This window comes from Homo sapiens, chromosome 4, assembly GCF_000001405.40.
Source record: "Homo sapiens chromosome 4, GRCh38.p14 Primary Assembly".
In the NCBI taxonomy this organism is placed as follows: domain Eukaryota; kingdom Metazoa; phylum Chordata; class Mammalia; order Primates; family Hominidae; genus Homo; species Homo sapiens.
The window spans coordinates 126,974,966-126,991,996 of record NC_000004.12 but is presented as its reverse complement, the minus strand read 5'-3'; positions in this window follow the sequence as shown (position 1 = coordinate 126,991,996).

The window sequence follows — 17,031 nt, the reverse complement described above, 5'->3', positions numbered from 1 at the left end:
GGGTTAACCACCCAGTGGTGCTTAGATTTGGAGCTTTTTGTCTTTGAAGTAATATGGCGCACTTTTAAAATTGAGTCTAAATTTCGGTCAAAGATACCTGCCTTTCTTTTGTATCTGACAAGAGAGACAAAAACCTTAAAATCAGTAGAGACTCATTACTCTACTCATTACTCTCATGTTAATGGTTAGATTTACAACTGATAGTAGTCTCAGTAACAGTTGACTCATGAACATATGATATTATGCATTTAAAAAATCTAAATTTATTGATGGCTAGGAAATTATATTATTTAATATGTCAATAATTTACTTGATTTAAATGTGTTTCAAAGGTATGTTGGACAATTTTAGTTAATGCCAATGTTGAATACTAAAGTATTTTGCTGACCTTTGTCCCTGGTTCTTGGAATTTCCCCAGTGATAGGAATGTCTTTGTTATGAATGGTGGACACCTGGGACCACAATTGAGTTTATACTAACAAGGTGATTCATGGTGGACCCCAGATAGTTTCATATGGGGGTTGGCATGGCCATGCTAAGACTGACCAACCATGCAAGTAAAAGGTTTTGACTTATTTATTTATTTATTTATTTATTTATTTATTTATTTATTTTTTAGAGACACAGAGTCTCACTCTGTCACCCAGGCTGGAGTGCAATGGTACCGTCATAGTTCACTGCCACGTTGAACTTCAGGGCTTAAGTGATCTTCATCCTTCAGCCTCCTGAATAGCTAGGACTATAAGCATGTACCACCATGCCAGGCTAATTTGTTTGTTTGTTTATTTATTTATTTTTTAAAGACAGACAGACAGGGTCTCGTCATGTTGCTCAGAGTGGTCTCAAACTCTTGGCTTCAAGTAATCCTCCTGGCTTGGCCTCCCAAATTGTTAGGATTACAGGCATGAACCACTATATCCAGCCTAAGGATTTGACCCTGAACCAGGTGCTGCAGGCCTGATATCCTTACCTCTGAGGAGTGGAGGGGAGCAGAGCTGGAGATTTAGTTCAATCTTATGGCCAGTTATTCTATCAATTATGCCTACATAATGGAACTTCAATAAAACTCTGGACATCTGAAGCTTGGGTCAGCTTCCTAGTTGGTGATATGCGTGGTTGTACCGGTATGATGACATCTCCTGAAGACACTGAAGCTTTACATTTGGGATCCTCTTGGATCTCACCCTATGCATTACTTCCTTTGCCTGGCCCTGATTTGTATCCATTATAAGACAACTGTAATCATAAGTATAGTGTTTTCCTGAGTTCTGTGAGTCATTCCAGCAAATTATTGAATCTAAAGGGTGTAGTTGGAATCTCCAGATCTATATTCAGTTGGTCAGAAGTGAAGGTACCTTGGGAACCCTAGACCTTGCAGCCAGTGTCTGAAGTGAGAGGAGACTTGTGGAGGACTGTGCCATTAACCTGTAAAATTTGACTTAACTCCAAAAAGTTAGTCTTGTAATTGCATTGTGGCTGATTAGAACTTTCATACATAGAAATCTATATCGAGATATATATATATATATATATATATATATATATATATATCTGAATCATAGAATTCATTTTACTATTTTAATTTAGAAATTTCATGCATATTTTTATCCTGCTACATAATATACTGAAGTAACATATTTTAAAATCATTTTCATATCAATGAATTTTAAATAGTTCTTCAGTGATAAGCCATATGGAAAGGAATTATCTTAGTCTTTTGATTAAATGAAAATTGTTTGTTCTTTGATTATCATCCAAATGTTTGCTTCCATTCAGTATAAAATGTGACTAAGAAAGCTGGGATGGTTGCTGATAACCCTAATAAGACACTGATGTACATAGCATTGCTAGGTTAAGCAACCTACCTGGTGATATTTTAGGTCATATCTATATCTTGGACTCAGGAATTATTATGATGACAAAATTGTTTGTCCTTTGATTATCATCCAAATGCTTGCTACTTTTCATTAGAGTAGCAATAATTAAGCACTAAAAATGTGTCTATACTCTTTTTAATTGAGACAAAGTGTTCATGATGCAGGCACTAGTATTCCATTTACTACTGATGAGGAAACTGAGGCATGGAAAGTTCATATAAATTGTGACAATTACATAAGTAGTCATTACCAGAGCCGGTAGTAATCCCAGCATTCCCTACACTTGTCCTACATCACTAAATATAATCCATTCATCAATTGTGATTATGTCTCAATGTGAGGCATCACAGATGATGCTCACTCTCAGACATTATTGTAATTAGAATATAATTGGATACATGGGATTTGGTATCAATTCATTTATGAGTGATATTTATAGAGGACCTATTATGTGTCAAATACTGGGCAAAGTACTGGGGATACACTTCTGAATAGATAGAATTGTTTTACTTCATGTCAGGGCAAGGGCAACTGTAACTGTGGACCAACAAGGGTGGGGACAGATTCCCTGGGGCAGTGCCCCAGGGGCTCTTCTCAGTTCCAGACTCTTCCAAAACACTCACTCACTGAGAAGAACATCCTGGGCTTGGCTTTTTCTGTGCACTCATGTCTGTAGGAAAGAGGCATCAAGAGCCAAAAAGGGAAGCTGAAAGGAGAAAAACAATTCAGTGAGACTAGAAAAATAAAATAAATGCATAAAACTGGTAAAACTTTTTTTGTTGTTTACATTTTCATGTTCTATTATTTTAATCATTTTCATTATAAAAATCTATAGCTATCTAAATTTATTTTTATATTTTATTTATTTATTTATTTACTTATTTATTTATTTTTGAGACGGGAGTCTTGCTCTGTTGCCCAGGCTGGCTGGAGTGCAGTGACGCGATCCCTACTCACTGCAAGCTCTGCCTCCCGGGTTCATGCCATTCTCCTGCCTCAGCCTTCCGAGTAGCTGGGACTACAGACGCTCGCCACCATGCCCGGCTTTTTTTTTTTTTTTTTTTTTGGTAGAGACGGGGTTTCACCGTGTTAGCCAGAATGGTCTCGATCTCCTGACCTCGTGATCCACCTGCCTCGGCCTCCCAAAGTGCTGGGATTACAGTCGTGAGCCACTGCGCCTTGCCTATTTTTTAAAGAAACAGAGTCTTGTGCTGTCACCCAGGTTGGAGCGCAGTGGCATGATCTCAGCTCGCTGCAACCTCCACCTCCTGGGTTCAAGCGATTCTCGTGCCTCAGCTTCCCGGAGCAACTGGGACTACAGGCATGCACCACCAAGCTGGGCTAATTTTTTGTATTTTAGTAAAGACGGGATTTCACCATGTTGACCAGGCTGGTCTTGAACTCCTGAACTCAGGCAATCTGCCAGTCTCTGCCTCCCAAAGTGCTAGGATTACAGGCATGAGATACCATGCCTGGTTCTATCTAAATTTAAATGGGATTTTACCATTTTGGGAGGCTGAGCTGGGTGGATCATTTGAGGTCAGAAGTTCGAGACCAGCCTGAGCAACATGGTGAAACCCTGTCTGTACTAAAAAATGCAAAAAAAAAAAAAAAAAAAAAAAAAAAATAGCCGAGTGTGGTGGGGTGCACCTGTAGTCCCAGCTACTCAAGAGCCTGAGGCAGAAGAATCACTTTAACTCAGGAGTTGGAGGTTGCAGTGAGCTGAGATCACACCACTGTATTCCAGCCTGGGCAATAGAGCGGGACTCTGTCTCAAAAAAATAAATAAATAAAAATCAAATAAATAAATAAATGAAATTTTAAAAATTGAGATTTTACAATTTTGAGATTCTTACCAGAACATTTTTGTATTGAAGATTCCTAAATGTTAATTGCCTAGATAAAATCATTTCATTTCTATTTATGTTTTCTTTCACTTGCCAGTTTAAAATTACTGAGGCCCCAAATTCTGTTTTTGTTCTTCTATAACCCCAAATTCCTTTTTGAATTAGTATAATCTACTAGTTTTGACTTACAAACATACAAACATACACAAAAATACATTGAAGAGAAACTGGTTTTCAGGCAAGACAAACATATATAGTTGCCTTTGCATCTCTACAGGAGCTTAATGTGAAATTTATGACAGAAAAACTTGAAAATAAAGCCATACTATATTTAAATAATTATATAATAAATTATATGTAAGAATATGGGTCAATGTTATGTACATTCTCAAATTTTGTGCTTTCATATGAGATTGGGGCTTCTTTTCAATGTGAATACAGTAGTCATGTGTGACAGTGATTATTATAAATATTTGACTAATGAGTTCATTTTTTAAGATAATATGTTTAGTTAGAATTTGGGTAATTGCTCAGTGTTGGCATTGAGAAATTTGGCCATTAAATGGACATTTAAAAGAAATCACCAATTTTATCTAATGTGTGTCAAGAATCTCTGAAGATATTTTGTGATTATTAAGCTGGGATTGGCACATGTAAACTGAAGTGAATAATTAAGATAATTACCTGAATAATTTAAGAAAAGTATTTTTTATTATATTGTCTATTTTTTTCCATTCTTTTTACCTGTTTGGCCCAATTATTCTGAATAATATTTTTATTTATTTATTTATTATCAATCCTTCTATATATGAAAATATTTTTATATTATATGGTACTGCATTTAACTATTAGTATGAAAAGAAATGAATTAAAATTATCTTAAAGCTATAAATCAAATAGAAAGTGCTTTAGAAATATTGTACTTAAGCTTCCTTCTCCATGTGTTAAATAGTAAAACTTTAGGAGGGGATTAAAGTGTTAAAACAGAATAAGGAGGAGGCTGTTAGCCTAAGTTTGTCTTTGTACCTACGGCACCTTACATAAGCAAACTAAAATATAGTTTGGAGGCATTTTCTATAACTGATTATAAAAACAAAACAAAAATTCTTAACCAATCACAAACATCCAGCCAGCTGATTGATTATATGACAAGGGACCTCCCATTGGTCTGTACTCAAATGAGGCAAATACCTAGCTTTTACCAGGAAAGTAGTTTCTTTACTTTACTTCCATGTTCAACCTAAAAAAACCTGCTACTCATGCTGTTGGAATGCAGCTCTTCCTATTCTGACTGCTGCCTGATTCATGAATCCTTTAATACTCAAACACTGTTAAATTTATTTTGACTAAAGCTTTTCTTTTAAAAATGTAAGATGTATTTCTTATTTCTGCTCCCTTCAACTTTCCTTTCATGTTAATAAAAACTGAGTATCTATGTCCTGGTGGTGTGGGTGGGATGTGTTCATGGAACCTAGAAGACTTGCTCACTGCCTTGAAGTTAGGTAGCTCAGTCATTTTTGCTAGCAAAACTTATTAGAGTGTTGAAAGAAACAATTTGTTTATATTATGTTTTCCTCCTGCCTCCAATTCTTGACTTTGGTCCCCTGAAAAGTAAAACTCTTGGCTTTTTAAGCTGACATTGCAACCCCTTTGAATATTTTAAACATTCCACGTCCAGGATGTTTATACATAGATAGAAAGAATACATTGATTTTTTTCCCTCATAACAAAATTATGTCTTTGTATCTTGAAATATGTCTTTCAAGAAACAAACAAACAAAAAAACCCAAGGAGATATAACTACACAAAAATAACACAATAATCTCCTAGTTACTGACCCCAAAGAAATGGAGATACACAAAATGCTTGACAAAATTAAAATAATTGTTTTAAAGGTGCTAAGTGAACTTCAAAAAATACAGAGAAATAATTCAATGAAATCATGAAAACAATACATAACAAAAACTAGAAATTTAACAGAGAGATGGAAATTATATAAAAAGCAAATAGAAATTCTGAGCTGAAAAATACAATGAGTGAAATGAAAAGTGCATTAGCTAGCATCAACAGTAGAACTGATCAAGCAGAAGAATCTGTAAACTCGAAGACAGATTATTTGAAAATATGCAGTCAGAGGAGAAAAAAGAAAAAAAATGAAAAGAAATGAAGAAAGTTTACAAAATTTACAGTTTGCCATCAAAAGAGCAAATGTTTGAGTTATAGACATTTGGGAAGGAGAAGAGAAGACAATAGAGTATTTTTATTATTACAAAAAATGGTAAAAATCTTTCCAAATTGGAGAAAGATATACATATCCAGGTATTGTGAGCTCAAAGATCTCCAATCAGATTCAATCCAAATAAGACTACAGCAAGCCATATTATAAGCAAACTCTTAAAAATCAAAGACAAAGAGAGGATCCTGTAAGCAGCAAGAGAAATGAAGCAAATAGCATATAAGACAGTTCCAATATTGGCAGATTTCTCAGCAAGGACCTTTTAAAAAGAGAGAGGCCAGGAGAGAATGTGATGATATATTCAAAGTGCTGAAGGGAAAAAATGGTGACCAATAATACTGCATGTGACAAAGCTATTCTTCAGAAATAAAGAAGAGATATAAACTCCCAGACAAACCAAAGCTGAATGAATTCATCAGCACCAAATCTGCCTTACAGGGAATGCTAAGGGAGTTCTTCAAGCTTAAAAAAATGATGCTACTTTGTAACACAAAAACATGAACATACAAAACTCACTGGTCAAAGTAAGTACATGTTCATATTGAAAATACTTTCATGTTTTAATATTGGTGTGTAAATAATTTATATCTTTATTATGATAAAAGATAAAACTATTAAAATAATCATAGCTACAATAATTTTTAAGGGAGATACAATACAAAATTGTCAATTGTGACACACAAAAAATAAAATGCTTTTGGAGAGTTTGGAGTAAAATCATAGGTTAAGCTGTTATCAGCTTAAAATAGCCTATTATAATTATAAGCTGCTTTTTGTAAGTCTCATGGTAATCACAAAGCAAAATCCTGCAGTAGATATACACAAGCTAAAAATTAAGGAATCATACTGCCATAGAAAGCATACCACTGGAGAAAATAATTTAGTCAAAAAGGAAGACAGCAAGAGACGAAGAAAGGAACAAAGAATCTACAAAATAACCAGAAAACAATGAACAAATTACAGCAGCAAGTCTTTATTAATAATTACCTTGAATGTAGATGGATTAAACTCTCCAGTCAAAAGACAGAGTGGCTGAATGAATAAAACAAACAGACAAACAGACAACAAAAACAAGACACAACTATATATTGCCCATAAGAGGCTCACTTCACCCGTAAGGGCACACATAAACTGAAAATGAAAGCATGGAAAAATATATTCCATGCAAATGGAAACCAAAAGAGAGAAGTAGTGGCATACTTATATCAAATAAAATAGACTTTAAGTCAAAAACTGTAAAATGAGACTAAGAAGGTACTTATATAATGATAAAGGGGTCAATTCAGCAAGAAGATATAACAGTTGTAAATACATAAGCACCTCATATTACAGCACTTAAATATATCAAGCAAATAGTAATATATCTGAAGAAAGAGATAGACTGTAATACAATAGTATTTGACTTCAATACTCCACTTCTAGCAATGGAGATAATTCAGACAGAAAATCAATAAGGAAACACCAGATTTAAACTATGTGTTAGATCAACTGGACCTATCAGACATAAGAACATTCCATCCAACAGCAGCAGAATACACATTCTTCTCATGTACACACAGAACGTTCTCCAGGATAGATCATATGTTAGGCCACAAAACAAGACTAAACAAATTTAAGAATATTGAAATCATATCAGGTATCTTTTTTGACCACATTGGGAAATTTGGGGGTAAGTAAAAACATCTATTTTTCTAATGTTGAAATTGGTTTCTGACAATGAAAAGGATATAATCCTCTACATTCAACAAATTGTGGCATTAAAGCAAAGCAAAACTTTGGTATGGTTGTTAACTCTAGTTAACCTCTAGGGGAAGAAGGTAGGATATGACTGGAAAGAGACACATTGGAGGGAGAACTTTGGTGTAATGGTAACGTACTGTTTCTTGACCTAAATGGTAGTTACAAAGGTGATGAAGCTTTAGTTATTTATGACATTATATATTTAAATATTGTTTACTTTTGCCTTCATGTCTTAGTTCTTCTTAATTTAGAAAAGAAAGCAAAATTGTAATCTTAATAAAGGATATAAAACAAAAACCAGCCAAACTGAGAGATGCTGATGGTCCTGGATCAGAAGACTTAGCATCATTAAAATAGCAATCCTTTTAAATTAATTTATATATTTAAAGCAATTCCATGGAGAATATCAATGGTTTCAAATAATGGATAGAACTATTGATGAACAAGAAACATTTTTCTAAAGAAAAAATGTCTTAGAATATTCAAGAAACAAATGAAAAAAATGTTAAATGGACACTTGCCTTGCCCAATACTGAAACTACGAAACCATTGTAATGAAATCAGCATGGCACAGGTACAGGAATAGAAAAGCAGATTAGTTTAACACATATGAATCTAGACATAAAACCAGGATACAAAGATTGTTAAAATAATCAAAAAATGATATTACAATGTAGTAGAAAAAGAATAGTTTATTCAATAAATGTGCTGACATAGTTGGTTATCCATCTGGAAAAGACTTTAACAAAGCTAGGATTTCAGATGACTAAAGTTAAATCTAACAAAATAATAAATTGTATAACTGTTACCCCAACTTATAGGAAACCATTTTAAGCAAGATAGAAAACTCTGAGGCATAAAAAATAAGCATATTTGAGAATAAAAAGTAAGAGTAAAAAATTTGAATGACAAGACCGTAAGCAAAGTTAAAAGACAAACTATTGTCTAGAAAAAATTGAATTATCTATGACAGTCTGATAGTTAATATGCATAATATGTAAATAGCTTGTAAATGAAAAGATAAAAATCATAATTTTAAAAAGATGCAATATGTGTATGTAATTTAGAGAAAGGAAATTCAAAGATCAAAAAAATTACAAAAATGTCATTCTTCTCATTAATAGAAGAGAAGTTTAATTAAGCCATCAGTGTGATACTGTTTACCTTCAATCTGACTGACAAAATTTAAAAGAATGTTTACATCCCAGAATGTGGAGAAATGGGCTTCCTCATTAATTTTGGGGTACAAGTATGATTTAATGAATACTGTCTTGAGAAATAAACTTCTAAAGATGATTTAAATTACAATTACACAGGATCTTTGTGCCTGCAATCTGACTTTGGGAATCTATCTTCTAAATAAAAATAAAAGTATTAGGCTGGTAATACTAATGATGAGAGTGTTCAATGTTACTTGCAGTACATAAAAACTGGAACTAACTTGGATGTCAATAGGGAAATGCTGCAGAGCTACTATAAAACAAACAATAATTTATGAATTAGACCTGTATCTTCCAACCTGGAAGGTATCTTTTTTGCCTTGTTTTATGTTACCTGAGGAGTGCAGTTTTCAGAGTTACGTGCACTTATGCTTGTATATGTTTGATCATCATCAGGTGTGAGAGGATAAAGATAGAGTGTTTGCACCTGAGCATGATGAAAATTGAAGTTGGAGTGGTAGACGATTAACAACAGCAACATAAAAGACAAACTTCTTTATGTGCTTGGAATATTGATATGTGTTTCTGGATTTGAGAAGTAGTTAGATTACTGTATTTTTGTTTGTATCTCTATGTTTTAGGGTCATGTAGACTTGCAACTGACTTTTTTTTCAAAGACAATTTTTTTACAGCAGTTTTAGGCCACAATAAAATTGAGAGGAAGGTGCAGCAATTTCCCATATACCCCCGTCTCTACATTTGCATAGCCTTTCCCATTATCAAAGTCTGTTATCAGAGCAGTACAGTTGTTTCAATTAATGAACATATATCATCATTAGGACCAAAGTCCTTAATTTACATTAAGGTTCATGCTTGATGTTGTACATTCTGTGGGTTTAGACAAATGGATAATGATAGGTATGCATCATTATAATATTATGTGAAGCATTTTTACTTCCCCTAAAATCCTCTGTGTTCTCTTTGGTCATCTTTCCTCAAATCTCTTCACTCTCTCTAGAATCACGGATCTTTTTACCTTCAGTTTTGCCTTTTTAAGGATGTCATAGAGTTGAAATTCTGCACATTCACATACCAGGAAGGTGTCCATCCCAACTCCATGGAGACAGAAGCTCCCGTGCTCTGGGCTCTTCTAAATCTCACCATATATATCTCTTCCTCTGGCCATTCATCTGTATCCTTTGTAATAAATCAGCAATAGTAAATAAACTGTTTTCTTGGGTTCTGTAAGCTGCTCTAGCAGATTATCAAACCTAAGGAGGGGATCAAGGGAACCTCCAATCTTTAGCCATGTTGGACAAAAATTGTGGGTTTTCTGGGATCACTTCGTGTGAGTGACACTTGAAGTCGGGGGCAGACTTGTGGAACTGAGCCCTTAACCTGTGGAATCTGATGCTGTCTCTAGGCAGAGAGAGTCAGAATTGAATTAAATTGTAGAACACCTAGCTGGTGTTGTAGAATTGGTCCATGTGAAAAAAAAAAATCCACACATCTGGTCATAGAAGTGTTGGGTGTTGAGATTATAGTAGGGGAAACAGTTGTTTTTCTAGTACATAGAAGTTCCTGTCAGTTAATGGGCATGGGCTAGGGACAATACATTTCCTGTAATGCAGGCCTGAAAAACTATCCATTGTTGGACATAATTATGAACAACCTCAACCTGCTGGATTTACTTTTTTTTTTTTTTCTTTTTTTTTTGAGATGGAGTCTCACTCTGTCACCTAGGCTAGAATGCAGTGGCACGATCTTGGCTCACTGCAACCTCTGCCTCCCAAGTTCAGGCAATTCTCTGCCTCAGCCTCCTGAGTAGCTGGGATTACAGGCACCCACCACCATCCCCAGCTAATTTTTGTATTTTTATTAAAGATGGGGTTTCACCATCTAGGCCAGGCTGGTCTTGAACTCCTGACCTCGTGATCCACCCACTTCGGCCTCCCAAAGTGCTGAGATTACAGGTGTGAGCCACCATGCCCAGCCTGGATATTCTTATATGAAATATTTGCTTATAATAACCCAAACCTATGGCTAACCTCCATTTTACAAACAGAGCACAAAATATTGCTTGCACTGATTTAATATATGCTTGATTTTCTGAGAATGTGGCCATTTTGTGATTCAAAGCAAAGGTGTGTTTTCTGTTCAGAAGCTTCTAAAAATTGTTCACCATATTGGAAGTCACATCACCATTTATGATGTTGGATTCTTTGCATCATTTTTTTGTCCTTTAAAAATGTTAACACTAGATGCTTTAGGAATTCATTACTTTATACTTTGACAACACTTAATCTAAGGAATCAAAGTGCAAGAGTCTAAAATCAATTAAATTCTCAATTATATTTTAAAAATATATGATTAACCCCTTAATTGATAGATTATTTTGTATACTGTACAATGACTCTCATTCTGGACACAGTAGATGGCTCTTTACAGTAAATCTTAAAAACATTTTAAAGTTTGTTAATACTTTCTGTTTGTATTCAACTGATGACAAGAAAGTGAACATCGTAATTGCTACTTTGGTGAAATTGTGAAAATAATTTGAAAGCTTTTGAATGTATTTGGAAAGCTGCAAGGAAATGAGACTAATTTCTCTAAATGAAGGACATTTTATGACTTATGAAATATTAAGCAAGCAAACTTGCTTACCAAGAATTTTCCATTTTCATATTCTAGCAATTATATAAGGATAGATTTAAAGATTTAGATTTGCAGGCCGGGTACAGGGGCTCACAGCTGTAATCCCAGCACTTTGAGAGGCCAAGGCAGGCAGATCACCTGAGGTCAGGAGTTTGAAACCAGCCTGGCCAACATGGTGAAACCCCGTCTCTACCAAAAATTCAAAAATTAGCCGGGTGTGGTGGCGGGCGCCAGTAATCCCAGCTTCTTGGGAAGCTGAAACACAAAAATCGCTTGAACCCAGGAGGTGTAGGTTGCAGTGAGCTGAGATCATGCCACTGCACTTCGGCCTGGGTGACAGAGCGAGACTCTGTCTTGGAAAAAAAAAACCAAAAAAACAAAAAAAAACAGATTTAGATTTGCAAAATGTTGCTTTCACTTGCATATTCTTTAAAAAGGTGTAGTCAGGTTAACAAATCTCCACCTTAGCCTTTCCCAAATCAGTTGATAACAATTCCACCCTTCCAGTTGCTCAAGCCAATAACTTTGGAGTCATTCTTGACACCTCTCTTTCTTTCAAATCTTATAGTTGATACTTTAGGAAATCTTATCAGCTCTATGTCTAGAATATGACCACTTCTCATCACCTCCACCACCACTGCTGTTTTGGTTTGCTTGGATTTTTGCAATAGACTTCTACTAGCTTGGTGCAAAGGTAATTGTGGTTTTTGCCATTAAAATCATGGTTTTTGCCATTAGAAGTAATTACTGGATAATAACTGTTGTCCCTTCTTTTACCCTGTTGCCTTGTTGACTCTCTCTATTCTTAATATAGAAGTCAAAATTACCCTGTGGTAAGTCATGTAAATCAGATCATACCTCTCTTCTGTGCAAAGCTCTGCAGTGGCTTTTAATTTCACCCAAAGAAAAATTCAAATTTCACTCAAGGAAAAATCCAAAAATCCACTTGACCTTATGTGATCTGGGCCCTCTATGTTAATTCTCTCACCTTCCGTCCTATGCCCTCCTCTTGCTCACTCCAGTGCAGCCACACTAGCCTTTCTGCTGTTTCTCTAACAGACCTGATAGTCTCTTACCTTAGTGCCTTTTCTCTAGCTATTCTTTTTTTTTTTTTTTTACTATACTTTAAGTTTTAGGGTACATGTGCACAATGTGCATTCTGCAGCCCATGTATCAAGGAGTGATTTTGACTTTCAAGTGTTATTATTTAAAAAATACCTTTTGTAAGCTGATAGCTCTCATAGATAGTCATTCCTCTGATGGACCTGGGCAAAGTAAATTGAAAACTTTCTAGAAAGTATGTCATTTAGAACATTAGTGATTTGTGGAAGGAAGTCAAAATATCAGAGCTAACAGAAGTTAAGAAGAAGTTGATTCTAAGTTGCTACCAGAAATAACAGTAACTCTGCCATTACTTCCTCCTCCTCTGCAGTTATAGGTGGAAATAACAACAGAACTAGAATTATAAGTGGAGCCTGAAGATGTGACTGAACTGCTTCGCCTCATGATACAACTTTTACAGATGAGGAGTTGCAAAGAAACTTGGTCATCTATTAATGAATAAAGAAAGTGGTTTCTTGTGATGGAATCTACTATTCTGAACATTGTTGAGATGACAACAAAGTGTTTGGAATATTACACAATTGATAAAGCAGTAGCAGGGTTTAAGAGGATTGATTCCAAATGTGAAACAAGCTCTACTGTAGGTAAAATGCTATCAAACAGCATCATGTGCTGCTGAGAAATATCTTGTGAAAGAAAGAGTCGATCAATATGTCAAACTTCATTGTTGTCTTATTTTAAGAAATTGCCACAGCCACCATCTCAGTACGTTTCACCATCCTAATCAGTCAGCAGCCATCAACATCAAGGCAAAATCTTCCACCAGCCAAAAGATTATAACTCACTAAAGGCTCAGATAATTGTTAGCATTTTTAGCAATAAAGTATTTTTAATATGTCCCTTGTTATTTTTAGACATAATGCTATTGCACACTTAATAGACCTCAGTATAGTGTAAACATAACCTTTATGTACATTGGGAAGCTGAAACAGTAGTGTGACTTGCTGTACTGCAATATTAACTTTATTGCAGTAGTCTGAATGGAATCCACACTATCTCTGAGGTATGCATGTACAAATAAATAGAATAATACAATTAATCTTTAGTTTTATTCTATTGTTCATCTATATCACCGCTCTGTAATTTTTCCTAACTTGTACAGAATGACGTTTCTTTTTTTTGTATTAATTACAATATTATTCACTTTAAGTAGGTGCAAGCACATAACTACTTCATGGTGCTGTCTAATATAGTCATTCTCAAACCTTTTCATATTCATATACTAAATTTATTAGAAATATTTTCTTTTTATTTTCCCCTTTATATTGCATTATGACATTATATATGTGGGTAGTTGATATTATCTATGAATTTAATTTCAAAATGGCAAAATATTCATAACATTTAATTTCAGGATAGTGAAGGAGGCATTAGTAAATATTTATAAGAACAAGTAGGCACCTGGATTAGTTTAAAATTTTTTAGGTTGGAATGTAAATGGGACAGTTGAAAAAAATAGAACCAAGGACTAAACTGAATAAAACATACTAACCTGAAAGAAGCCTAAAAAAACTTTAAAAATCAGAGATTAAAGAAAAAACATAGGAAATCATCATAAACCAGGAATAAAGTTCTTTCTTTGAGTACAGATAAGACTGAGATCAGTTTGAATTCCTGATTAAAATAATCATATGCATATGCCAAATATGTATTGTAGAATATTGTTTGTTTTCCCCTCCTTTGGCAGCCATGAGAATGTGCCTCACGGACTCCCAACTACAGAGAATATAATTGACAGAAGGTGTAGCTGCTCTGCCCTGAAATTTATCAAGGTATTTGCACTGAGGCCACACTTCCTGTGGGATACTTTTAGCCTGTAACTGAGTGCAGCAGGAGCACTAAGGCAGGCCAGTTCCTGACAGACGCACGACTCCTTTGATGAGTGACTGTGGCTCCAGGACTCCCTGACAGTTTTGCTGAAGCTTCCTTGAGCTGCATGGCAGTTGAACAAGCTTCTGTCTAACTTTTTCTGTATCTCCTGTGCTTGGAGCCAGTCTTGCATCAGGTTTTGTTGTTTCTCCCAGCTTTCCCTGGCTCTCTTTCTATTTCCTCACACAGGCATTTTCCTTAACAAAATTCGTTTACGTTTAATTCTATCTTGGCTCTATTTTTAGGAGGACCTGATTGAATATTTCCCGTTATATCAATTAAATTGCAGATTAGAGTTGTCTCATAAATGTCTAACACAAAAAGGATTTTTGAGTATTTTTAATTTCTTTGACCTTTAAAGTAATTATTTCAACTGGTAGTTTTAAGCCTTTGCTCATTCTCTAAAGGAATCTAATTACATTCCTGGGATGGCAAATATCACTCATGATTACATGTTTTTTTTTTGGCTCAGTGTAGTAGATTCTATTTTTATGTCCTTTCTAAAAGTAGGGGGCAATGTCTTTTCCAGTTTGCTACTAAGTCATCATCACCATTCATTACATATACTGTAGTTTACACAGTTTTAAATTACATTGAGGGGTATTAGTTTATACAATGATTGCTCTGAAATAATGCTCATTATTCTTTTCAAAGCAATGCCAGCATAACACTATCTAACGAGATACCAGGAAACATCAATGTGGATTTAGCTATAAACAAAGTCCTCAATGAGGTAGATATATTTACAAATAAAATTATTTTCTCTTCAATTGGGAAATTAAAATAATTTCCATTTGTATTAGTATGTTCAGAGTTCTTGGAAGAATTTAGAGCACATTTTAGAAACCAAATACCCTGTTCCAATCTTTTTTTTTCCATGATGATACTTACATTTTCCTCAGTGTCAGTGGGATATACTCATTTCCCCTTTCTTTTTTATTAATATAAATGTCAGAAATACTGGGATGAATCTAAGTGAGAGGGTAAATGGATATTTCAGGGCATGTAAGGTGAGAAAAATATTTAGAGATTCATTAGATTTAAGAAAGAGAATACCATTGATAAGAATTTATGAAGTCAGTTTTAGTTTTGTAGTTATCTAAAATCAAATTCTAAGTCTTAACTAAGTAGCTGTTGATAAAATTAAGCATTATCCAGGAATAGGAAATAGCAAAATGAAGTCTACTACATGGTAGAAGAGAGAATGGCAATACTTTCTAACTCTTAGTTTGTAACCACTTAACCTTCCCTAAGCAATGAGAGATGGTAAGGAAGTGAGACAGTGTTTCCACCCACATGTCAACAATGTGGTCATGTCATGCTGGAGTAACTTTGATTTACTGATTTAATATTCTTCATATTAGTAGCATGTTGATTATGAGCAGCCTCCTTGTAGATCTTATAAAATTATGTCCTTCAGAGAATATAAATTTTCATTATGAAAAATTATGTGATTCTATTATTTCAATGGATGGTACCCATTTTTGTAACTCTGCATTCTGTTTAATGTCCAAGTTAAGGTTCCCACTGTAATGCCAACGCAGAGTTAGCACCTGAGTGTGAGTGCCTCCTTAAATTCTGCATGTGGGTGTTTTGCTGTGTCTTTCTCTCCTTCGTGACACTATCACACTTATTTGGGAGATCAACTTCCTCAAAGATGGCTGATTTAATACGAAGACATCTCAATTCCTTAACTTGATGCCCTTTCTAATCAATCATCTTTCTCTTCAGCCATTTGTTTCTATGTTTACACCATAGATCTTGTTACTACCAAAGACTACACCATTTCCAAGGCATATTAAGCTTCCTACTTTTTGATACCTCTACTAACTTCACAGCTCAGTCTCTCTAGCACCATCACTTGACCAATTCTTATGCCCAGTTGAAAAATCTAATGTTCTTTCCCCATCATGCTCCCTCTTACATTCTTTTCACTTTACATGTTTAGAACCCATTATTAAAATCTTTCCCCTGCATGCATCTATATTTCTCTATCGTCTAAATTTACCAAAACTCAGATCCCATTTAAACCCAAGAGGTCTGCTGCACACCTGAAACCAACAGATGAACAGACTGAATAAAACCAACCAGCTGGAAAACAGAAAACACAGTGGGCTTGTCCCATTTTTTATAAGTTTCAAGCTTTCCACTCAGCTCTGTACAAATGTTCCACTAATTTCTCTAGTCAAATTTTTTCCTTATGCTCAAAATATCTATATTAGACTTTTTCCGTCTCTTCAAACCTTCACCATCCATTTCTTATTCTTCACTCTCAGCTGATAAGACAAGCAGAATAAAAAACCTTTTCCTATTTATTACAGTTCCCAAATTTATCAGTTCCACTGTATTTGTGCTCATTTCCTTATTCTTTCAGTATAATGGATAAACTGCCTCTGACTTTACTTAAGACCAACACTTTGTTGGATCCCCCATCTTCTTTCTCAAAGATTTTACTTCTGAATTATCTCCTCTCTGTTCTCATAATCAATTTCTCATTTTTTCTAGGTTTATCCCCTTAGCATAGT